General features: G+C 39.0%; 1 long non-coding RNA gene across 1 annotated transcript in view, besides 1 other annotated feature; it reads left to right on the plus strand.

The window, feature by feature from the left end:
- Positions 5873-7072: an enhancer, noted in NCBI's record as "MED14-independent group 3 enhancer chrX:43035494-43036693 (GRCh37/hg19 assembly coordinates)". NCBI's record gives its function as "activates an origin of replication core promoter dependent on BRD2, BRD4, P300/CBP and CDK7 cofactors, and independent of MED14, by STARR-seq in HCT116 cells {active_cell/tissue: HCT116}" and the evidence as "EXISTENCE:reporter gene assay evidence [ECO:0000049][PMID:35650434]".
- Positions 6622-22337, plus strand: part of PINCR (p53-induced noncoding RNA) — a 49605-nt gene continuing 33889 nt past the window's right edge. The window contains exons 1-2 of the long non-coding RNA NR_110387.1: positions 6622-6833; positions 20220-20351. This is a non-coding gene — a long non-coding RNA (p53-induced noncoding RNA). The remainder of the gene's footprint in view (positions 6834-20219; positions 20352-22337) is intronic.

The raw sequence follows: 22337 nt of genomic DNA on the forward strand, positions 1-22337 counted from the left end.
AGGACAATGGGCTCACTTAAATGACTTAAGTATAATTGTGCTTAATCTGTGTAGACCAATTTACCAAGAACTTTTACTAAACTTATATCATGTAACCTCATACTAAGTCAGTGAGAGGAGAATTTTCCTCAGCTTTTCAAGGAAACTGAGGCTGAGAGAAGTAACAAACTGCATAGTTAATAAGTGACAGGTGTGACTGAAGCCACCAAATGTCATCAGAAAATAATGCATGGCTCATTTCATTCCACCATGGCTATGACAGGTACCTGTATAGGAAATTAACTGCTCTGTGCTTGCAGTTTGCCCTGAGCCAACTGAGCCTATCAGAGCAGACTCTGAGCTGAAGCAGCTCCCTCCTCACTTTTTTACAGGAAATGTAAGCCAGCATCAATACTTTCTTTTCCATCAGAAACAGCTATAAGCAGCATCCGAACAAAAGGGAATGAACAAAACGGAATATATTCTCCTTAGAGTAACTAAGATAGTAAAAAACATTAGCTATATTAGAGGCACTGTGCCAGGTACTGGGAATAGAAAAACGGGTAAGAACTCGCCTCTCCTCCTTCCACCACCATCACTAAGAGCTATTAGTGTGGGAGACAGAACTTACATCATTTCAGCTTGATCCGTTCAGTCCTGAGAGAGGGGTCTGACTGCAAGACCACTATGGTACCGCAGTGGACCAATGGCTCTACCCTTGGCTTTCAGAGAAGTTTTCTGAGAGGAGAAGGAGCCTTAATGGAGGTCTGCAAAGCCAAGTAAAGTTTTAATTATGTGTTCCAAGCAAAGGAAATTAGTAGGCAACTTAGAGAAGCAAAAAGCAACTTGCAATGTACAGGAACTCTCAGCAGTTGAGTGTGAATAATAAATGAAGCATAGGGCATGAAGTAGCCAGAGAGTCAGCAATAAAATTTATAGATTAAATTGCATGTGTGCCTACTATATGGAAGACTGGTAAGAACCTTAAAGACAATCATTTAATTCTAACAACTGAGGTAAGCACCGTTAGGATCCTCATTTTCCGGATGAAGAAAATGAGGCTCAGAAAGGCAAGTAACTCATACAAGTTCTCACAGCTAACAGCTGTCTGAGTTGACATTTGAACTTCAGGGTCTCAGAAAACGATACCCCAAAATGAAGTCCTCAGAAGCATCTTTCTTGCTTCTCTTACCCTCTTGCTCTGGCCTTCATTTTCCCCTGAAGTAGCCATAGAAACTAGAATTCCTCTTCCCTAAGCTGGGCCATAGAAGTCAGAACCCCTTTTCCCCAGAACCAGCCATAAAACCTAAAATTATTACTCTAATTCCCCACCACCACCCACCTCTTCCTTTGTGTGTAAAAACTGTCTATAAAGAAATTATCTGATTCTACCCCCTTTATCATTTTTTATTGCATCTATTTGATTCTTCTCTCTTTTCTTCTTTATTAGTCTTGCTAGCAGTCTATCAGTTTTGTTGATCTTTTCAAAAACAAGAAATGGGGAAAGGATTCCCTATTTAATAAATGGTGCTGGGAAAACTGGCTAGCCATATGTAGAAAGCTGAAACTGGATCCCTTCCTTACACCTTATACAAAAATTAATTCAAGATGGATTAAAGACTTAAATGTTAGACCCAAAACCATAAAAACCCTAGAAGAAAATCTAGGCAATACCATTCAGGACATAGGCATGGGCAAGGACTTCATGTCTAAAACACCAAAAGCAATGGCAACAAAAGCCAAAATTGACAAATGGGATCTAATTAAACTAAAGAGCTTCTGCACAGCAAAAGAAACTACCATCAGAGTGAACAGGCAACCTACAGAATGGGAGAAAATTTTTGCAATCTGCCCATCTGACAAAGGGCTAATATCCAGAATCTACAAAGAACTTAAACAAATTTACAAGAAAAAATCAAACAACCACATCAAAAAGTGGGTGAAGGATATGAACAGACATTTCTCAAAAGAAGACATTTATGCAGCCAACAGACACATGAAAAAATGCTCATCATCACTGGCCATCAGAGAAATGCAAATCAAAACCACAATGGGATACCATCTCACACCAGTTAGAATGGTGATCATTAAAATGTCAGGAAACAACAGGTGCTGGAGAGGATGTGGAGAAATAGGAACACATTTACACTGTTGGTGGGACTGTAAACTAGTTCAACCATTGTGGAAGACAGTGTGGCGATTCCTCAAGGATCTAGAACTAGAAATACCATTTGACCCAGCCATCCCATTACTAGGTATGTACCCAAAGGATTATAAATCATGCTGCTATCAAGACACATGCACATGTAGGTTTATTGCGGTACTATTCACAATAGCAAAGACTTGGAACCAACTCAACTGTCCATCAATGATAGACTGGATTAAGAAAATGTGGCACATATACACCATGGAATACTATGCAGCCATAAAAAAGGATGAGTTCATGTCCTTTGTAGGGACACATATGAAGCTGGAAACCATCATTCTCAGAAAACTATCACAAGGACAGAAACAAATACCACATGTTCTCACTCATAGGTGGGAACTGAACAATGAGAACACTTGGACACAGGATGGGGAACATCACACACTGGGGCCTGTCGTGGGGTGGGGGGAGGGGGGAGGGTTAGCATTAAGAGATATACCTAATGTAAATGACAAGTTAATGCATGCAGCACACCAACATGGCACATGTATACATATGTAACAAACCTGCACAATGTGCACATGTACCCTAGAACTTAAAGTATAATAATAAAAATAAAAATAAAAAAAAGAAATTATCTGATTTACCTTGTTTAATTGTAGGTCATAAGAGCCCTAATCAAGAGAGGGTTCTGTCCCACACCCAGAAGGAAAGAATGTTGCTCAAAGAGGCCAAGAAGAATCCAGACAGAAAGGACGTGCTGGGTTTCCCCACTCAGTCTGTTGGCATTAGATCATACCTTTTGTCCAATTATATTTCTACAAAGCTATCCATACTTTGTTGAACCTAAGCATAAAAATGGACAGTTTTCCCTGTATCTTTGGGTCTTTATTCTGATGGCTCCCATGTCATGTAAAAAACTATGATCAAATAAATATGTAAGTCTTTTCTCCTATTAATCTGCCTTTTGTCAGTGATTTTCAGCAAAACTTCAGACAGCAATGGGAAAGTTTTCCTTTGACCGCTACAGAACCTACATAATTCCAAACTCTTAGCTAAGTCGCATACTGCTGTTCTTCCAGGTATGAGACAGGTCCGAAGAACATTGTACTTAATTTAGCCAATAGCAGGGGTCAGAATTTTTTTTTTTTTTGTAAAAGACAAGATTATAAATATTTTAGGCTTTGTGGTCCATATGGTCTCTGTTGCAACTACTCGATTGTGCTGTTATAGCAAGAAAATAATCATAGACAATACATAAATGAATGAGCATGGCTGTGATCCAATAAAACTCTGTGTACAAGATACAGGCATCAGAATGGATCTGGCCCTTAGGTGATAGTTTACCAACTCCTGACCAATAGAAAACTATTGAAGGGTTTAAGCAAGAAATGACATGATCAATTTTGGATAGCACTGCTCTAAACAGTCTGATTCATGCCAGAAACATCAACAGGGCATCCAAGTTTGGATTGGATGAAATGGCTGCTTCTAGCAAGTGTCAACAACTGAGACTCTATCATGTCTTTTTATACTTTCACTTGTCCCTCATTTCTTTATTTGTCAAATATTTACTTGATGAATTGTGTTAGTCTGTTCTCACACTGCTAATAAAGACATACCCAAGTCTTGGTAATTTATAAAGGAAAGAGTTTTAATTGACTCCCGTTCAGCACGGCTGGGGAGGCCTCAGGAAACTTAGAATCATGGCAGAAGGGGAAGCAAACACGTCCTTCTTCACATGGTGGCAGCAAGGAGAAGTGCTGAGCAAAAGTGGGGAAAGCCCCTTGTAAAACCACCAAATCTTGTGAGAACTCACTCACTATCATGAGAAGACCAGCATGAGGATAACTGCCCCCATGATTAAATTACCTCCCACCAGGTCCCTCCCATGACACGTGGGAATTATGGGAACTACAGTTCAAGATGAGATTGGGTGGAGACACAGCCAAACCATATAATGAATATTCATCAAATATTTATTCACAATAAATATATATCAAATATTCATCAAATAATATTAATCACTATGTTTCAGGCACTGTTTAGGTATTAGGGATATAATGACAAACAAAAGTAAAGTCACTTCTCTAATGATGCTTGCATTCTAGTGAGAGGAAGATAGATAAACATGTATATACACACACATAAAGCTATACAATAGGTTATAAGTGCTATAGAGAAACACAAATTAGGAATAAACAGTACTTGGAGGGTTAATTTTACATGAAGTGCTTAGGAAAAGTCACTCTGCTAATGAGACATTTTTACAAAGATGTGAATGAAATAAGGGAGTGAATCATGTGGATATACATGGGACAAACAAATATAAAATCCAGTGGTGTGAGTATTCCTGGAGCATTTGAAATGCAACAAGTATGTCAGTGTGGCTCCAATTAGCAAGTAAGGCATCATAGGAGATGAGGCCAGAAAAGTATCCAGGGGCCAGATCAGAATCAGATCAGGCCAGTTGCAGTGGCTCATGCCTGTAATCCCAGCACTTTGGGAGGCCAAGGTGGATGGATCACTTGAGGCCAGGAGTTCAAGACCAGCCTGGCCAAGAGGGTGAAACCCCATGTCTACTAAAAATATAAAAATTAGCCTGGCATGGTGGCACACACCTATAATCCCAGCTACTTGGGAGGCTGAGGCGTGAGAATCTCTTGAGTTTGGAAGGTGGAGGTTGCAGTGAGCTGAGAGTGCACCACTGCACTTCAGCCTGGGCAATAAAGCGAGGCTCTGTCTCAAAAAAAAAAAAAAAAAAAGAAAAATCAGAAGATCAAAAGAGGATATTTAAAGGATCTGGGGTCTGGTTTAAGGTGTGGATTTCAGTGTGGTATCCTGATCAAGACTGAGCAGTTTGTAACATAATGGTTTAAGATTGGTAGACACAAGGTCTTGAAGCACGCCTTGGTAAATAAACCGTTTAATATATAAATTGTTTTTCAGGAGAGCAGGCTGTTGTCTCAGATAAAGTGACTTGTAGGAATTTCCTGAAGCGAAGACTGAAACTATTTATTGGTTTGCAGTTTTATCATCCCTGGGAAAGGTTTTTTTTGGAACAAATAACTAAGTCATGTTGACACAGATGATCTTAGCTCTTAGTCCTAATTGCTGTGTCATATTGATATAGTTGGATGCATTTCTCACATATTGCATCATGATATGTACAAGTGATTGTCTTAGTCTGTTTGTGTTGCTATAGTAGAAAACCACCGACTAATAGACTGAGTAATTTATAGCAAATAGAAATGTATTGGCTCCCAGTTCTGGAGGCTGGGAAGTCCAATAACAATGTGCCACCATTTGGCAAGGGTCTTCTTGCTGCACCATCACATGGAAGAAGGGAAAAGAGAAAGAAGAGGGCCAAACTTGCCCTTGTATGAAAGGTATTAGTCCTACTTACGAGGGCAGAGCTCACATGCCCTAATCACTTCTTTAAAGTTTCATCTCTTAATACTGTAACAGTGGCAGTTAAATTGCCATATGAGTTTTGGAGGGAACAAACATTCAAACCATAGCAGGTACATTTCAAAGTACAAGGAAGAGACTCCAGTGCTAATACACTGAGCACCTATGTGAGGTCTTTTCCAAGCATCATCTAATTTAGTCTTTACAACATTCTTATATGGTAGGTACTAGGTTCAAAGATTCTACCTGAGAAAACTGAGGATCTGAGAGTTAACATGCCTGTCATAGTCCATTAATCTTGCTATAACAAAATACCACAGACTGGGTAATCTATAAATAATAAAAATTTATTTCTCACAATTCTGGAGGCTGGGAAGTCCAAGATCAAGATGCCAGCAGATTCAGTGTTAGGTGAGTGTTGCTCTCTCTGTGTCCAAGATGGTGCCTTCTTGCTGAAGCCACATGTGGCAGAGAGCAAAATGCAAAAGGACCTAGCTTGTTCCTTCCAGTCCTTTTACAAGGCACTAATCCATTCATGAGGGCAAAGCTCTCATGGCCTAAGAAACTTTCAAAGGCCAAACATCTTAACACTGTTACATTGGGGATTATGTTTCAACATAAATTTTGGAGGGCACACAAACATTCAAACCATAGCAATGCCCAAAGTCACATAATTAGAAAGTGACATAACCAGAATTAAAATCCAAGTCATTTTTTTTCTCCAAAGTTCATATACTTAGCCACTGTAAGACACGGCCTCCTATGAACCAAAACAATACGCAGTGTATTTTCAATCTTCAAAGGAAACTTGTCTGAAATTATGGGAAACTTCTTAGTCCTGGTGATAGTTGCAGGAGGCAGCTAAGGGAGGATCCCTGGAGAATCTCCCAACCACCCCACAAGTGTTTACATCAGATGCTTTTATGCACATGAGAGAACCTGCCCAGGCCCTTGTCTGGACATGCCCACAATGGACTGGGGGCCGGCCTGCTCACTGGAAGCATGGGGTGGAGCCACTGGGGATTCGTTCCTTATGCAGTGGGGAGGAGCGTGGCCTCTTCAGGTTGTGTGTGTGGTGGCCTGGCATTCAATCTGTGAGGTGGATGCGTGTTGGAAGGACCCCTTTTGGTTTCTTTTTGCTCAGAGCTTTCTTTTAATAAATTCCGCTCTCCTCACCTTTCAATGTGTCCGTATGCCTAATTTTTCCTGGTCCTGTGACAAGAACCTGATTTTAGCTGAACTAAGGAGCGAAAGATCCTGGATCATTTTGGTGACCCATACTGGTACATGAGGAAAGGTGAGTAAAATGCAGACCAAAAAATGTTTGTCCCTTTTGTTTCTGAGACTTTTTGTCCTTGGACTTCTTCTGAGGGTAAACTGTGCCCCACCTCGTTGCTCTCAGGGGTCAGCAGTGTCAGTCTCAGTCCAATCCAGAATTTCTATGGCATTTTCCTTCTTTTTTTGAGACTGTACTGGCACCTATCCTTTCTTTTACAATATTGGGGGTGTTTCACCCCCACCCCAATGGCTGCAGGCATGACTCCCTGCTCCCCTCCCCTCCCAGGTGGGGCTGGAGCACATGGCCCAAGGCCCCCACGTGGCAGGCTGGCCAGTGTTCCCCACCACACGTCCATGATGTCTTCCCCTCACCTGGCCTCCCCTCCCCTAGCTGAGGGGTCCAGCTCTGAGCCCCAGGGAAGAAACAGCAATTAAGTTTTTCTCCCTGTTGGAAGAAACCATTTACATAAGAACAAGCAGTTCTTTCCCCAGGCATCTTTCTGATATGATTTGGCTGTGCCCCACCAAAATCTCATCTTGGATTGTAGTTCCCATAATACCCAAGTGTTGTGGGTGGGACCCTGTGGGAGATAATTGAATCATGAGGGCAGTTTCTCCCATACTGGCCTCATGGTAGTAAATAAGTCTCACAACATCTGATGGTTTTAAAAGGGGAAACTCCTTTCACCTGATTCTCATTTTCTCTTGCCGCCACCATGTAAGAGGTGCTTTTCACTTTCTGCCATGATTGTAAGGCCTCCCCAACCACATAGAACTGTGAATCCATTAAGCCTATTTTTCTTCCCAGTCTTGGATATGTCTTTATCAGCAGTGTGAAAACAGACTAATACACTTTCCAACTCTGCACTTTAAGCTGTTTTTTTCTTTTCTCCACTAGGCCAGGCATTAACTTTTATGTGACAGGCTTTTTTATTTTCCTTTTAGAAGACGTTTGACTAGGCCAGGATCCCAACTATCACTGTTTATATTCTCTGTAAAGTTTTAATTATATTTAAAAAAAAAAAGGATTTTTGAGGTTGGTCTTAAGCTATACTCAATCTGGTGTGTTTTGCATATTTTTCTTTATGGTTCTGTCGGAAAGAGGGGTACCTTAGAATGGGATGTAGGCCTAGGATTACATAGGTCCACTGTTCAAGCCCAGCAAACTGGTCAGTAGCAAACTTTGCTGAAGGCCTCCATCTTGTTTTAAATTATTGGGAGTGTGACCTGTAACCACATGGCAATGCTTTGTTTCAGCCTCCACCATTTACAGCGGTGGCCCAGGTTCAATCCTGGCTTAGGGAATGAGTCCTTTCTGGTTTGATATCTGTGTGACCTTTGCCATTTGTCAATTCTCTTCCCCTCCATGAACCACCTTGTATTTTCCTTTCTTGGAGTAGTTGGGAGGTTACCTTTGGTAAAGTTCAAAAGCCAGAAATATTGGCCACTTGGCATGGCTAAAGTCGGGTAATAAGGGACTTAAAAGGATTTTCTTAAAGAGCACTCAGCTTAATTAAAAGTGGATATCCAAGTTATGGGTATATTTAAAAGGACTTTATGGTTTTCTCTTCTTGGATCTTGTTTTGCTGGGAAAAGGTTTTTTTCTCAGTCGACTGAACTCCATTTTGCCTTGCCACTCTTACTGAATGCATGAGAGGTTCTAAGATAATTTCTGATGGCCTGGGACTCTTGGGAAAAACAGAAAAGGTACCACAGATTCAATTTTTAGAGACACCTGTTTTCCTTATGGAGTGCCAGGAATTAGAGGTGTATAGATCCCTCCCAAAATCTGTTTTTGTCTTCCAGCTACACTTGTTTATTAGACCCTAGAAACTACATGCTTTCCTAGCCTTGCTCTTAAAGGGCTCCACCCAGAAGCCAATAATGCAATTAGGAGATTGGCAAAGGAAAAATTTTATAGCTACTGGATCTTCTTCTGCCTGTCTGTGTGGTTATACATGTGTTGTGTGTGTGATGTCTATAAAAAAGAGCTCTAATTAATTGACTTAAAGAAGGATGAGCGCTTGGATGAAATATTTTTGAAAGGGAAGATAAAAGCTACGGTACTTTTTAGTTCATGTGACTTTAATCTTTCAGAAATAAAAACAGCCCAAAAGATTATTGGTAAAATGCAGATGTTGTCAAAATGTAAATTTCTGCCTAGGTGTATCACATTTATTGACTTGTGTATGTTAAACCATCACCATCCCTGCATCTCTGGTATGAAACCCAGTTAATGATGGTGGATTATCTTTTTGATATGTTGTTGGATTCAGTTAGCTAGTATTTTGTTAGGGATTTTAGTGTCTATGTTCATCAGGGATATCAATCTGCACTTTTCTTTTTTGGTTATGTCCTTTCCTGGTTTTGGTATTAGGGTTATGCTGGCTTCATAGAATGAATTAGTAAGGGTTCCCTCTTACTCTGTCTTGTGGAATAGTGTCAAAAAGATTGGTACCAATTCTTCTTTGAATGTCTGGTAGAATTCTGCTGTGAATCTGTCTGGTCCTGGACTTTTTTTGTTGATAATTGTTTAATTACCATTCCAATCTTGCTGCTTGTTATTGTTGTGTTCAGGGTATCTAATTCTTCCTGATTTAAGCTGGGAGGGTTGTATTTTTCCAGGAATGTATCCATCTCTTCTAGGTTTTCAAGTTTATGTGTGTAAAGGTGTTCATAGTAGCCTTGGATGATCTTTTGGATTTCTGTGGTGTCAGTTGTAATAGCTCCCATTTCGTTTATTATTGAGGTTATTTGGATTTTCTCTCTTCTTTTCTTGGTTAAGCTTGCTAATTGTCTATCAATTTTATTTATCTGTTCAAAAAATGAGCCTTTTGCTTCATTAATCTTTGGGGGTTTTTTTTGTTTGTTTCAATTTCATTTAGTTCTGCTCTGATTTGGTTATTTCCTTTATTCTGCTAGGTTTGGGTTTGGTTTGTTCTTGTTTCTCTAGATCCTTGAGGTGTGACCTTAGAATGTCAGTTTGTGCCCTTTCAGTCTTTTTGATGCAGGCATTTATAGCTATGAACTTTCCTCTTAGCACCGCCTTTGCTGTATCCCAAAAGTTTTGATAGGTTGTGTCACTATTGTCGTTCAGTTCGAAGAATTTTTTAGTTTGCATCTTGATTTTGTTTTTGACCCAATGATCATTCAGGAGCAGGTTATTTAATTTCCATGTATTTGCATGGTTTTGAAGGTTCCCTTTGGAGTTGATTTCCAGTTTTATTCCACTGTGCTCTGAGAGAGTGCTTGGTATAATTTCAATTTTCTTAAATCTATTAGGCTCATTTTGTGGCCTATCGTATGGTCTATCTTGGAGAAAGTTCCATGTGCTGTTGAATAGAATGTGTATTCTGCAGTTATTGGATAAAATGTTCTGTATATATTTGTTAACGTCCATTTGTTTCAAGGTATAGTTTAAACCCATTGTTTCTTTATTGATTTTCTGTCTTGATGACCTGTCTAGTGCTGGCAGTGGGGTATTGAAATCCCCCACTATTAATCTGTTGCTGTCTATCTCATTTCTTAGGTCTACTAGTAATTGTTTTATAAATTTGGGAGCTCCAGTGTTACGTGCATATATGTTTAGGATTATATTTTCCTGTTGGACAAGGCCTTTTACCATTATATAATATCCCTCATTGTCTTTTTTAACTGCTGTTACTTTAAAGTTTGTTTTGTCTGAAATAAGAATAGCTACTCCTGCTTGCTTTTAAAGTTCATTTGCATGAAATGCCTTTTTTCCACCCCTCATCCTGGGTTGTAAATTCCCTTTTTCCTTGTTATATTTGAAGTTGAGCCCAATCTCTCTCCCCAAATGCAAAACCCCATTACAGTGGTCCCTATACCTATTGCAACAGTTCTGACTATAGTCTGCCTCACTGTTCTTTAACAAGTGTCATGAATAATTTTTATTTAACAATAATAAAATAATACAACATAATAATATATTTTATCTTTAGAATGTGCTAAAAACTTTATATACTTAACTCCTTTAATCTTCACCTTCATCCAGTAGGATAGTCATTATTGTTAGTTATCCCCACTATCCAGATAAGGAAGCTGAGGCACTGAGCTTTTAGGTACCTCACCTGGGTCACATAGCTAACAATAACAACAACAACAAAACCTCAAATGGACGTCTGCCAAGGCTCAATGCTACGCCTTCAAAACATTAAGCCAGGTGTTATTCAGACATAAAATAATCAGAAACGGAGGTTCCACCCATAGATATTCAACAAGTTCAAACAAACAGCTGCACTGAACCATTTTTACCTCTAAAAGTGTGGATCACAGGGGCATCTGAACCCTGCATTTCAAGTACAGTTTACAAATGATTTCACCAAGGGTTTTCTAATCTGAATAAAGGAAGACAAGGAAGCTGGGATAAAACACAAAACTTAAATTTAGTAAAAGGGCCACAAAAGGATGCTGTTGAATCCCTGTGGGGTTTCTTTGTGGGTGTCTGAAAATGGGAAGGAGATAGAAGGCAGAAGGGAGCTCTGTGTGTGATATAAATGACCACAACTCAATGTTTAGGAAGACATTCTAAAGGGAGAAACTTCCTCCTGTAGGACAAAAGAGGATAACAATAATAGCAAACATTAATTGAGTGCTTAATGCATGCCAGGCACCAAGCATGGTTCTAAGTGTTATTGTTTTTTAATCATTACATGATTTGGTCTGATTTGATCTTCACGACAACTCTATAAGGCATATTTTGAGAAATTAGCCCTGTCTTGTATGGAGAAACACAATGTAAGCTCAAAGGGAAATAATCTGAAAGGACAACTGCTGCATTTACACAAAACAATATTAGGAAAATAAAGATTAATGGCTCTTGCCTATAGATTTCTATTTGTACAATTGCAGGAGAAAAAGGTTTTAAAATTTACCCAAATAAAACTGTACCTATTAGTTTGCAGTTAATTATTGAAAATGAAAGACGATTATATCACACTCTTCCCCAACTCTTCAAATTGGATAGCATTTCTATAAAATGAGTGTTTAGAGATTTCTAAAATAAAAACAATACAATAGAGGAACAACAAAGAAAAACACCTCAAGGTATCTGAATTGTTTCCGGATAAATGAATGTGTTTTTAAGAAATATTCAAGCAAATATTGAAAATAATTCAAGCAGAGAGAGAGAGAAAGAGAGAAATGATATATTTTCTTCTTATAACTATAAATGTGTTATATATGTATAGTGTAGGAGTCCAGAATATGCCACCCCAAAATATGCCTCTTTGGCATAAGGACTATTTTCAGTTGATTATTCTAAGAAACTACAGACACAGGAGAAGCTCTAAAAACAGAGAAGTTACCCTTTTGTAAGAGAAATTCACATCTATTAAAAAAAAACTCCATTTGTAAGGGTGTCTCCCACTCCATACCAGAAAGAAAAGGCTTACTCTAAATCACTAGAAACTCTTATCAGTGGAGAAGGTACCTGCTTAAATTTGCATAAAAAATGTTACCCTTGTTTACCATGCTTTTTCTAGTCACATTCCCATAACTGCTTCCCCTCCACACCCTTCTTTCTTTGTTTCAACTGAAGATAGTATTTAAGCCTGAATTCAAAGCCATTTTTTTGAGATTTACTTTTTGCTCTCAGTATCTCCCAATGTATACATAAGACATACATGTTAATAAACTTTTTTGTTTTTCTCTTGTTAATCTGTCTTTTGTTACGGGGGTCTATCCCAACTAAGAACTATGAAGCATAGTGGTAAAAATATTTTTTTCCTCCCCTACAATAAAATGATCTCTTTAGGTTACATTGAAAAACTGAGGTGAAGAGATATTCTTCCCATATTAAATCAATCACCATAGACCTTCAAAAGAAAAAATATAAATGGAAGAAAGTTTTATTTTTAATGAAATAAGGAAGGAGCCACACAACAAACTATAACCAAAAAGAATATGTTGGAGCTCAAAAACTGATACCTCAAAATATGACATTTGGTTATGGTGAACTGAAGAAGCTTTAAGGTCCCTCTGACTTTCCTCACTTCCCATAATAGTCTCTCTTAAAGCATAAGATATGCCGGGCACGGTGGCTCACGCCTGTAATCCCAGCATTTTGGGAGTCCGAGGCGGGCGGATCACTTGAGGTCGGGAGTTCAAGAACAGCCTGACCAACATGAAGTAACCCCATCTCTACTAAAAATACAAAATTAGTCGGGCGTGTTGGCGCATGCCTGTAATCCCAGCTACTTGGGAGGCTGAGGCAGGAGAATCACTTGAACCTGGGAGGCAGAGGTTGTGGTGAGCCGAGATCGCGCCATTGCACTCCAGCCTGGGCGACAAGAGTGAAACTCCGTCTCAAAAAATAAAAAGTATAGGATAAAGTTGTTCTCTGAAGTTCCTTTATCTGCCTAAAGTCTGAACTCACCAAGGAAAACAATAGATTTTTCTTCCCCTCCCTGTTATCTCATTACCTATTGCAGAAAAGAAGACCAAGAATGTAACCACACCTGAACAGACTCTATAAGATAATGTCTGTCTCTTAGACTCATTCACATTCTAAAGAGAACCACTTACCAGGTAATCTCTGTTCCCCAACCATTCATTCTCTCTAGTAATCCTTTACTGCTCCTCAATAGAATTTCTCTTGTTTTGCAAGGATCCAAGCTCCCATTCTTTCTGTAACTTTAAGATGGTATATAAGGGCCTGATGTGGTGGCTCACCCCTGTAATCTAAGCACTTTGGGAGGTCGAGGTGAGATTGCTTAAGGCCAGTTCAAGACCAGCCTGGGCAACATAGTCTGACCCTGTCTCTACAAAAAAGATAAAAGAAATAGCCAGGCATGGTGGCATGTGCCTGTAGTCCCAGCTACCTGGGAGGCTGAGCAGGAGGATAGCTTGACCTACAAGTTGGAGGCTATAATGAGCTATGATCACATCACTGCATTACAGTCTGAGTGACAGAGCAAAACCCCATCTCTAAAAATAAATGAATACATTTTAAAAGATAAGCTTATATAAGCTTCTATACTTCACTGGGGGATTGGATCTTCATTCTGAAGGCTCCCTTGTATACACGTTAAATAAATATGTATACCTATTCTATTAATCAATATGCCTTATGCCAGTGATTTTTAGGGAACCTTCAGTGGGCCAAGGGCCTTGCCCCCTACAAATACCAACCAAATGCAGTGGAACTGAAACCTAAACAGGGATAGATTCCAAGATAGACCTAAAATTCTCCACATATTAAAGAGCATTGTTAAGTATCAATGATATACCATATACCAAGAAATATTCTAAGTGGTAACTAATTTAATCCTGACAACCCTGTGAGATAGGTAATATTATTTTCCCCATTTACAAGCAATGAAACAGAGGCATAGAGAAGGTAAGTAACTTGCCCAAGATCACAAAACTACTGGTTATTAAAACTGAAGTTTGAACTCTGGAACTTGAATAGAGCACAGAGCTCTCCAAAAAGAAGTGGCAGAAAAATCCCTCACTTAACAAAGAAAGTTCTAATATAAGGCTGGGCTGGACTGAGAGTGCCTCCTTGAAGCCACTCCAACACAGAGCGGCAAGGGAGGCAGCCTTGAACAAAAAAAGTCCCAGAAAAAACAGGTGGTCAGTATGGCAGAAAGAGGCTGGGGGTGGGGGACGGCAACCAATTCGTAGCTGTTAATCTTTGTCAGGAGAAGAAGAGCAAGTGCCAAGTCATCACTCAAGAAGCCTGTGGCACATGGGGCTTTACTGCAAGACTATCAGGCCAGTCTTGTCAGACTGTACTGCAAAATCCATGTAAACCATCTCTGAGACTCTTGATTTAAATCCAAGCAAGCTGAAACCTCATGTTCCCTTAACCACACAATTTTTTTTTTAGCAAATAAATGATCTATAAGAAATGTCTTACAGAATATTTTGAAGATAGTTTTTATAACATTAGGCTGAGGATGCGTTACTGACAATTCATAGAGTTGGTTTGGCCTTAGAAAATAAGGTGGTGGGGAGAGAAAACAGTAGAGGGATCCCTCCTTCACTCCTTTAGCCAAAATAAATTCCAAAGATGTGAAATGTTTAAATATAACGAAATGAAATTTTTAAAACCCTAGAAGATACCATGAAAGATTTTAAACGATAAATTTAGGATGTTTGATCAAAAAAGCTTAGAGACCTCTACAATGTCAGTTAAAAAGAAAAGCATATGTCCCCTTCCCCAGTGCATCTGTTTCTTTAGTGTATTTATTATACATATATATATAAAATATATGAAACATGGATTTATTTATACAATTATAAATAGTCACTCACCACACTCTAACATTTACGTATCTATATACAGCTATATAGATATAAAGATATAGATAGATATAAATGTAATCCTCACGACTCTAAGAGGCACACGTTTAGAAACAAGCTGCTCTGTCTTTAAAGAGTTAATGTGTAATAATGCTAAACTACAAATAATGCTTCCTTTCATCCTATATAATGTATATATAGTCATGCATCACTTAATGAGGAGGATATATTCTGAGAAATGCATTGTTAGGCAATTTTGTTGTTGTGCAAACATCAGAGAGTGCACTTACACAAACCTAGATGGGATAGCCTACTAGACACCTAGGCTATATGGTATAGCATGTTGCTTCTAGGCTATGAACCTATACAGTACATTACTTTAGTGAATACTGTAGGAAATTGCTACAAAATGGTAAACACTTGTGTATCTAAACCTAGAAAAGGTACAGTAAAAATATGGTATTATAATATTATGGGATCATCATCAATATATGCAAAACTATTGTTGCCTGAAATGTTATGTTGTACATAACTGTATATATGTATATATACAGTCCTCCCTCACTGTCCATGGGAGATTGGCTCCAGGACTTCCTTTAAATACCAAAATTCATGGATGCTCAAGTCCCTGATGTAAAATGCCTTAGTATTTATGTGTAACCTATGCACATCTCCCCACATACTTTAAATCATCTGTAGATTGCTTATAATACCTAATATAATGTGCTATAAAAACAGTTGTTTTATTATATTGCTTATAAAATAATGACAAGAAAAAATGTCTTTACGGACCCAATTAAAAAAAAATTCTATCTGTGGTTGTTTGAATTCATGGGTGCATTACCCACAGATACAGAGGGCCGACCTTACATAAAAAATGAACATAAAATATGTAATCTTAGGTTGAGGTGAACCAGCATTTACAATTTTAGGCATAAATCCATGTTTCAAATAGTCTTCTTGATAATCTTGAATATTTTAGGCCAAATTCTTATCAGATCTGATGAGACTGTATGTATTTTTCACCCTGCAGTACAGTTGAACAGAAACAAAGAGAGCATCAAAGGGCCAAGAACAGGAGGACAAATCATATCCTTGTAAGATTCTCTGGCTGGCATGCTGTTATTCATGTAGTGGACACCACTACTGTGTTACAATGTTGCTGACATGGCCTCAGTGACTGTGAGGACTCCCTAACATTCCCTGTGTCACTGAGTTACTCTTTCCAGTCTCAAATTGCAGACCCCCATGATGGAATCTGAATTAGTGGTATATGCCTGGCTACCATAGGGCAGAGAGAGGGAGGACAATTTCAACTTTCTAAATGCAAGACAAGGCTCCATACGAAATGAGAGAATCTCAACAATAGGAAGGAATTGGGTGCTATACAGCTGTGACAATGAACATTGTCCACTATTGCATGTCTCAGCAATTCATAGTGGCTGAGAGCATGGGCACAGAGTCAACAGACTGAGACCAAAACTATCATTTGCTAGTCCCATGACATGACTGCTCTTAATAGGGTTCCACCAGGGAATTAAGCACTAACACTCCAAAACAATTGTTCTATACAATGCATTAATTTATTTCCTATGTTACTAGAATGGTGTTAGTTATACATTCTTGGAAGAATTGAGGAAATAGTCACTCCAGTCGTTTTCTATAGGGCTTAATTATCTCACTGAACCTCTTGTGAGAGAAGCTGCAAGCTTAGATAAATTATTTACTTTTTCTACGCCCGTTTTCTCTTTTAATTTCTAAAGTATAGACAAAAATTGTACCTTGTTCATAATTATTTAAAGATAATGTAATAAGCTAAAACATGTAAAGAACTTAGAACAATGCAAGGCACAATAGTAAATGCCATTTCTATCAACATCATATCCATATTTATATTTTTCACTTCTACCTGTAGTATGGGTGCTCAGTAAATAGTTGAGGAATGAATGGATATATGCCTGGGTGAAGATGAACAGTAGTGGTGTGCAGAGTAAATTAGGTGAGACAGGAAGCAGAAAGGCTGTTTGGAACCTGCTTGAATAATAACACAAAAAGGTAAGTAAAGAGGTTTTGAAACAGGGAGACAGCACTGAAAATTGAGAGAACACAGAGATTATTCCACAAGTCTTGGAATCTGATAGGGTGTGGGGAGTGGAAATAACACAAACTTATGAGCTTGGGTAACTGAGTAAATGGATGGTGGTGTCATTCACAGAAAGAAAAAAAAAAACTTCCAGAGAGAGGTGATGAGCTGAGTTTGGAACATTCAGGTAACTAACCTTATAAGTAGTGTGAAAGAGGGGATATTTATTCAAAAAGATTTTTGTTACCTTTTTCCATTTATCTTTTTAACTTTTTTACTTTGTTTAAATCCAAAGGACCTTCCAAGCAGGACTGCATTCAAACCATTCCAAGAAAAGTGCCATATTTGGTGGTTGGGTTGTATGGTTGCAAGTCATAGAAACAACTGTTATTAGCTTAGGAAGAAGAAGTAGAAGGGGGCAGGAATTTATTGGGGTAATATAGGGGGATACTGTGGAAATAATTGGAAAGAATACATTAAAACCTCAGAAAGAATATAGTTGGGAAAGAAAGCCATCAGGTACCCAGAAAGGACTCTGTCATAGGGTTTTCTTTCTTGTGTTGGCCTCCTTATTCTCTCTCTGCAGACCTGTTATTTCTGCTACACAGTCCACATGCTGAGAGGTGGCCATGTGACTTGTAGCAGATATCAGTGTTCTGCCCAAATACCTTCCAATTCCAATTTGTCTTTTTTGTGGATCCCCTAGCTTTGGTATGTTTTTGAGGTAGAAGATCAGAGGACTTATTTCCTAGTCCCGACCGGATGAAACAAAGAAACTTGCTGGAACCAACAAATGGTGCTGAAAGCAACCTCTAATTGCCCTCATTGCTCATTAGCATAAGACACTCCCATCACCACCATGACAGTTTACAAATGCCATGGCAATGACCCAGATGTTACCACCCCTTTCAATGGCAACTACCTGGAAGTTAATGCTCCTTTTCTAGAGATTTTGGCATAGCCCACCCCTTAATTTGCATGTAATTAAAAGTAGATATAAATACAGCTAGCCAATAGCCCACAAGTGCCAACTCTGGGCACACTGCCTATGCATTAGTCCTGTTCCACAAAAAGCAGTACTGGTTCAATAAAAGGTGCTGTCTTTCACTGCTGGTTCATTATTGAATTCTTTCTTGAGAAAAGCCAAGAACCCTCCTAAGCTAAGCCCCAAATTTGGGGGCTAGCCCACCTGCATCCCTTTCCCTCCCCTCCCCAGTATACATTTTGTACACTGGCTCAAAGGGTGAATTTAATTTCCAGTCTCAGTGGTAGCTAATTTGAACCTGATTTGAAATTGATTGTTTTCAAGCAGATACTAGTATGTATGCATTTATTAATAGACAGGCACTGAGTCTCATTTTTCTTCTACTTTCTCTGCTAATCTGTTCATGAAATGTGATTTTCAGCAACCATGTACATACATGCAATGTATTAGTCTGTTTTCACACTGCTGTAAAGAACTACCTGAGATTGGGTAATTTATAAAGGAAAGAGGTTTAATTGGCTCACAGTTCTGCATGGTTGGAGAGACCTCAGGAAACACAATCATGGCAGAAGGCGAATGGGAAGCAAGACACATCTTACATGGCAGCAGGACAGACAGAGCGATGGAGGAGACTGCTGAATACTTTTAAACCATCAGATCTCATAGGAACTCCCTCATTATCACGAGAACAGCATGGGAGAAACTGACCCCATGATCCAATCACCTCCCACCATGTCCCTCTCTTGACACATGGGGATTACAATTAGAGGTGAGATTTGGGTGGGGACACAAAGCAAAATCATATCATGCAATGAGATGAAATGGAATTTGTTTATTTTGATATCCACCTAATTTTTTTTCTTTTTTTGAGACATAGCCTTGCTCCATTGCCCAGGCTAGAGTGCAATGGCGCAATCTCGGCTTACTGCAACCTCTGCCTCCCAGGTTCAAGCAATTCTCCTGCCTCAGCCTCCCAAGTAGCTGGGACTACAGGTGTGTGCCACCATGCCCAGCTAATTTTTGTATTTTTAGTAGAGACGGGGTTTCATCATGTTGGCCAGGCTGGTCTTGAACTCCTGACCTCAGGTGATCCACCCGCCTCAGCCTCTCAAAGTGCTGAGATTACAGGCGTGAGCCACTGTGCCCAGCCTAACTTTTCTTTTTAAATAACATTTATTTTCTCTTTTAGGGCATAGGAATTGTAGTTCACACCTACAATTCTGTTTAGAGGACTGCCAAGAGAGTCTTGGAGTCCCATTTGCTGGGATGTAGCAGAGATGAAAGTGCCTGGGGATTTACATTCCCCCACCACCCCCAAGGCAGTCCTTAGTCAATGATAATTGCTGAAAGCATAGGCATGCCCTGTTTGCTTGTCTCTAATCAGAAAAACTCCAAAATGTAATTCACACTCCAGGGTTCCGTTGCAGGATAAAATTGAGTAATCCAACCTTCTATGGAACTTTTGCTTCCTCCTTTATCCTGCCTTGTTTCCATTAGTGCCTTACTGATTTTTCCTGTGAGCACTTAATGATTTGATTGCAGTCGTATCCTCATCTCAGGGTCAGCTTCATGGGAACCCAACTGTTATGGCTTGAATTGTATCCCTCAATAAAGATATGTTGGAAATAACGTCCTTGCAGATGTAATTAGTTAAGACGAGGCAATTAGGGTGGACTCTATTCTAATATGACTGCTATCTTTATAAAAAGGGGAAATTTGGATATGGAGGCAGACATGCGCAGAGGGAAGATATACAAGGTGAAGATGGCCCTGTAACTAGAGTACTGCATCCACGAGTTAAGGAATGACAAGGACTGCTGGCAAACACCAGAAGCTAGGAGAAGCAAGGAAGGATGAGAGAAAACTCAGAGCAGGGCCATGACTTTAGACTTCTGGCTTCCAGAACTGTGAGAGAATAAATTTCTATTGTTTTAAGCCACCAAGCTTTTGGTACTTTTCTTACAGCAGCCCTAGGAACCTAATGCATTAATTAACAACAGCCATGTGCCCAAGATTTTACACCTTTTCTCTTTCAGAGTTCAGTACAGACTGACACAAGATTATCTTAGCTCCTATTCCAGATTCTCAGAGTATAGATTCTGACTGGATTACCCTGGTCCTTGAAGTATACCTAGGAGATGGAATAACATTGTATAAGCATCCACGTTGTCATTAAGAGGAAAGAGTTTCCATTAAAACAGGTAATTTTTTGTTCCATGGGCTGCAAAGAGATCTTTCAAATGGCCACTACAAAAAGATTTCTCAGAATGGAATTTTCTGAGAAAAATTGTACAGTCCTAATGCCAAACTAGCATGTATCCAACAAGAAATGATGAAGAAGTTTGATTACTTTTTCAAATTCGGATGATGTTATAAATGTATAGGGTTTCCAAAACATGCATTTTGAAAAAGCTTCAAAGTTGATTAGTGTTGCCATTTTGACTTCCTGATTTGGCTTCTGAATGGCAACAATGCATGCTACAGAATAATGTTAATTCAGAATGAACAACAAATCTTGCTGTGCAGCGGAACATGAAGTCAATTTATGTCAAATGTTGTTGCACAGGGATTGAAAATAAACAGAAATGTGATCAGTATATCTATGAATTTACTTAGCAGAACAGTATTTTATCTTTTAAGCCAATTCTAAAAGGGAAAAGAAAAGAGAGTTTCCTTTTCTTTTTTCTTATGATTCAAGCTAGAAGTAGAACATTTTGTACACTGGCTCAGAGGGTGAATTTCATTTCCACTCTCAGCAGCAGCCAATTTGAACCTGATTCGAAGTTGATTGTTTTCAAGCAGTTCCTCGTATATATGCATTTATTAATAGATGAGCACTGAGTCTTATTTTTCTTCTACTTCCTCTACTAATCCAGTTATGAAATGTGATTTTCAGCAACCCTGAACATACATGCAATAAGATGAAATGTAATTTGCTAATTTTAATATCCATCCAACTTTTCTTTTTAAATAACATTTATTTTCTCTTTTATGACAAGAATTTCAAAGAAGGGAACCTGCATACTTGAAGTTTCTTTGTGAGTGGAAGTAGTGGCTTTCCACTATCCATATATTTGTATATACAAATTTTTGATGATCATTGTCAGTTACCCAGAAACAGACCGCAAGATGAGGATTCAGGTGCAAGTTGTTTATGAAGGAAGTGCTGCCAGGAGAATCTTGTAAAAGAGTGAGAAAAACAGGAGAGGAAAGAGGAAGAAGCAAGCAATTGTGTGGTTTTAGGCCAGGTCCTTACCTCAGCCTAATCCTGCGTAAATCACAGCTCAGAGTTAGAGCTGTTTCAAGGAAAGTAGCTGGGCTTTATAACTCCTGCACCAGCCAGTCCTGGAATAAGGGTCACTGGATTTAGGGTGGGGGTAAAAGGGCAGTTTGTCAACTCCCAGGCACTTCAAACTTTTTGCTGTTGAGGCAGAGCAAACCCAGTAGCCCAAGAGTGGGCCTTCAAAGAGAAACACAGCTGTGCGATTTGAAGGAAAAACACACAGTAACTGGAAAAACGATGCTCTGAAATGCTAAAAGAGACTCAGCAGTATACTTAGTGACATCCCTATGCCAGGTACCTTCCAATTGATTTCATTAGGATAGAAAGTACAGCTTTTTGGTTTACCGTCTCCCCAAGCTTAGACAGCCTGCTTTAGTCTTCTGCACCATAGCCCCCACACTTAGCCCAAACTCCTGGGTTACCACATCTCAGCCTGGACTTCAATGTCCTTGGTCCTCAGTAATCTGGCAGGGTGGATCCAATATAGACTATTTTTTCCTTTTTAACTTGAAATCTGATTGACTTGTGACCCTGGCTTAATTGAAGGCAAAACTTTATCTTTGATAATACTGCAAAATTGAACTTGCCAAAATTATTATTTTAGACAATATGTTTTAAACATCAGGAAAAATTTAAAGTCTATTTATTAAGCCTTTCACTATGCATTCAGAAATTTCCATTAATAATATCATATTTCCTCAAGTCTCTCTGCCACAACCCTCATGTATGTATTCATTTCTGATGAAATCTGAAAAAAATATATAGGTCTGCTTCTACAGCAACCTTCCCCATAGGCTGCTACAGTCAAAAACAATAATCTAGATGGGCTATAAACACTGCACCTCACCATCACAGTGTCCAAGTAGAATTGTTATAACTTGGCAAGATGAACCCAAGTTTTGTC

This window comes from Homo sapiens, chromosome X (assembly GCF_000001405.40).
Source record: "Homo sapiens chromosome X, GRCh38.p14 Primary Assembly".
In the NCBI taxonomy this organism is placed as follows: Eukaryota; Metazoa; Chordata; class Mammalia; order Primates; family Hominidae; genus Homo; species Homo sapiens.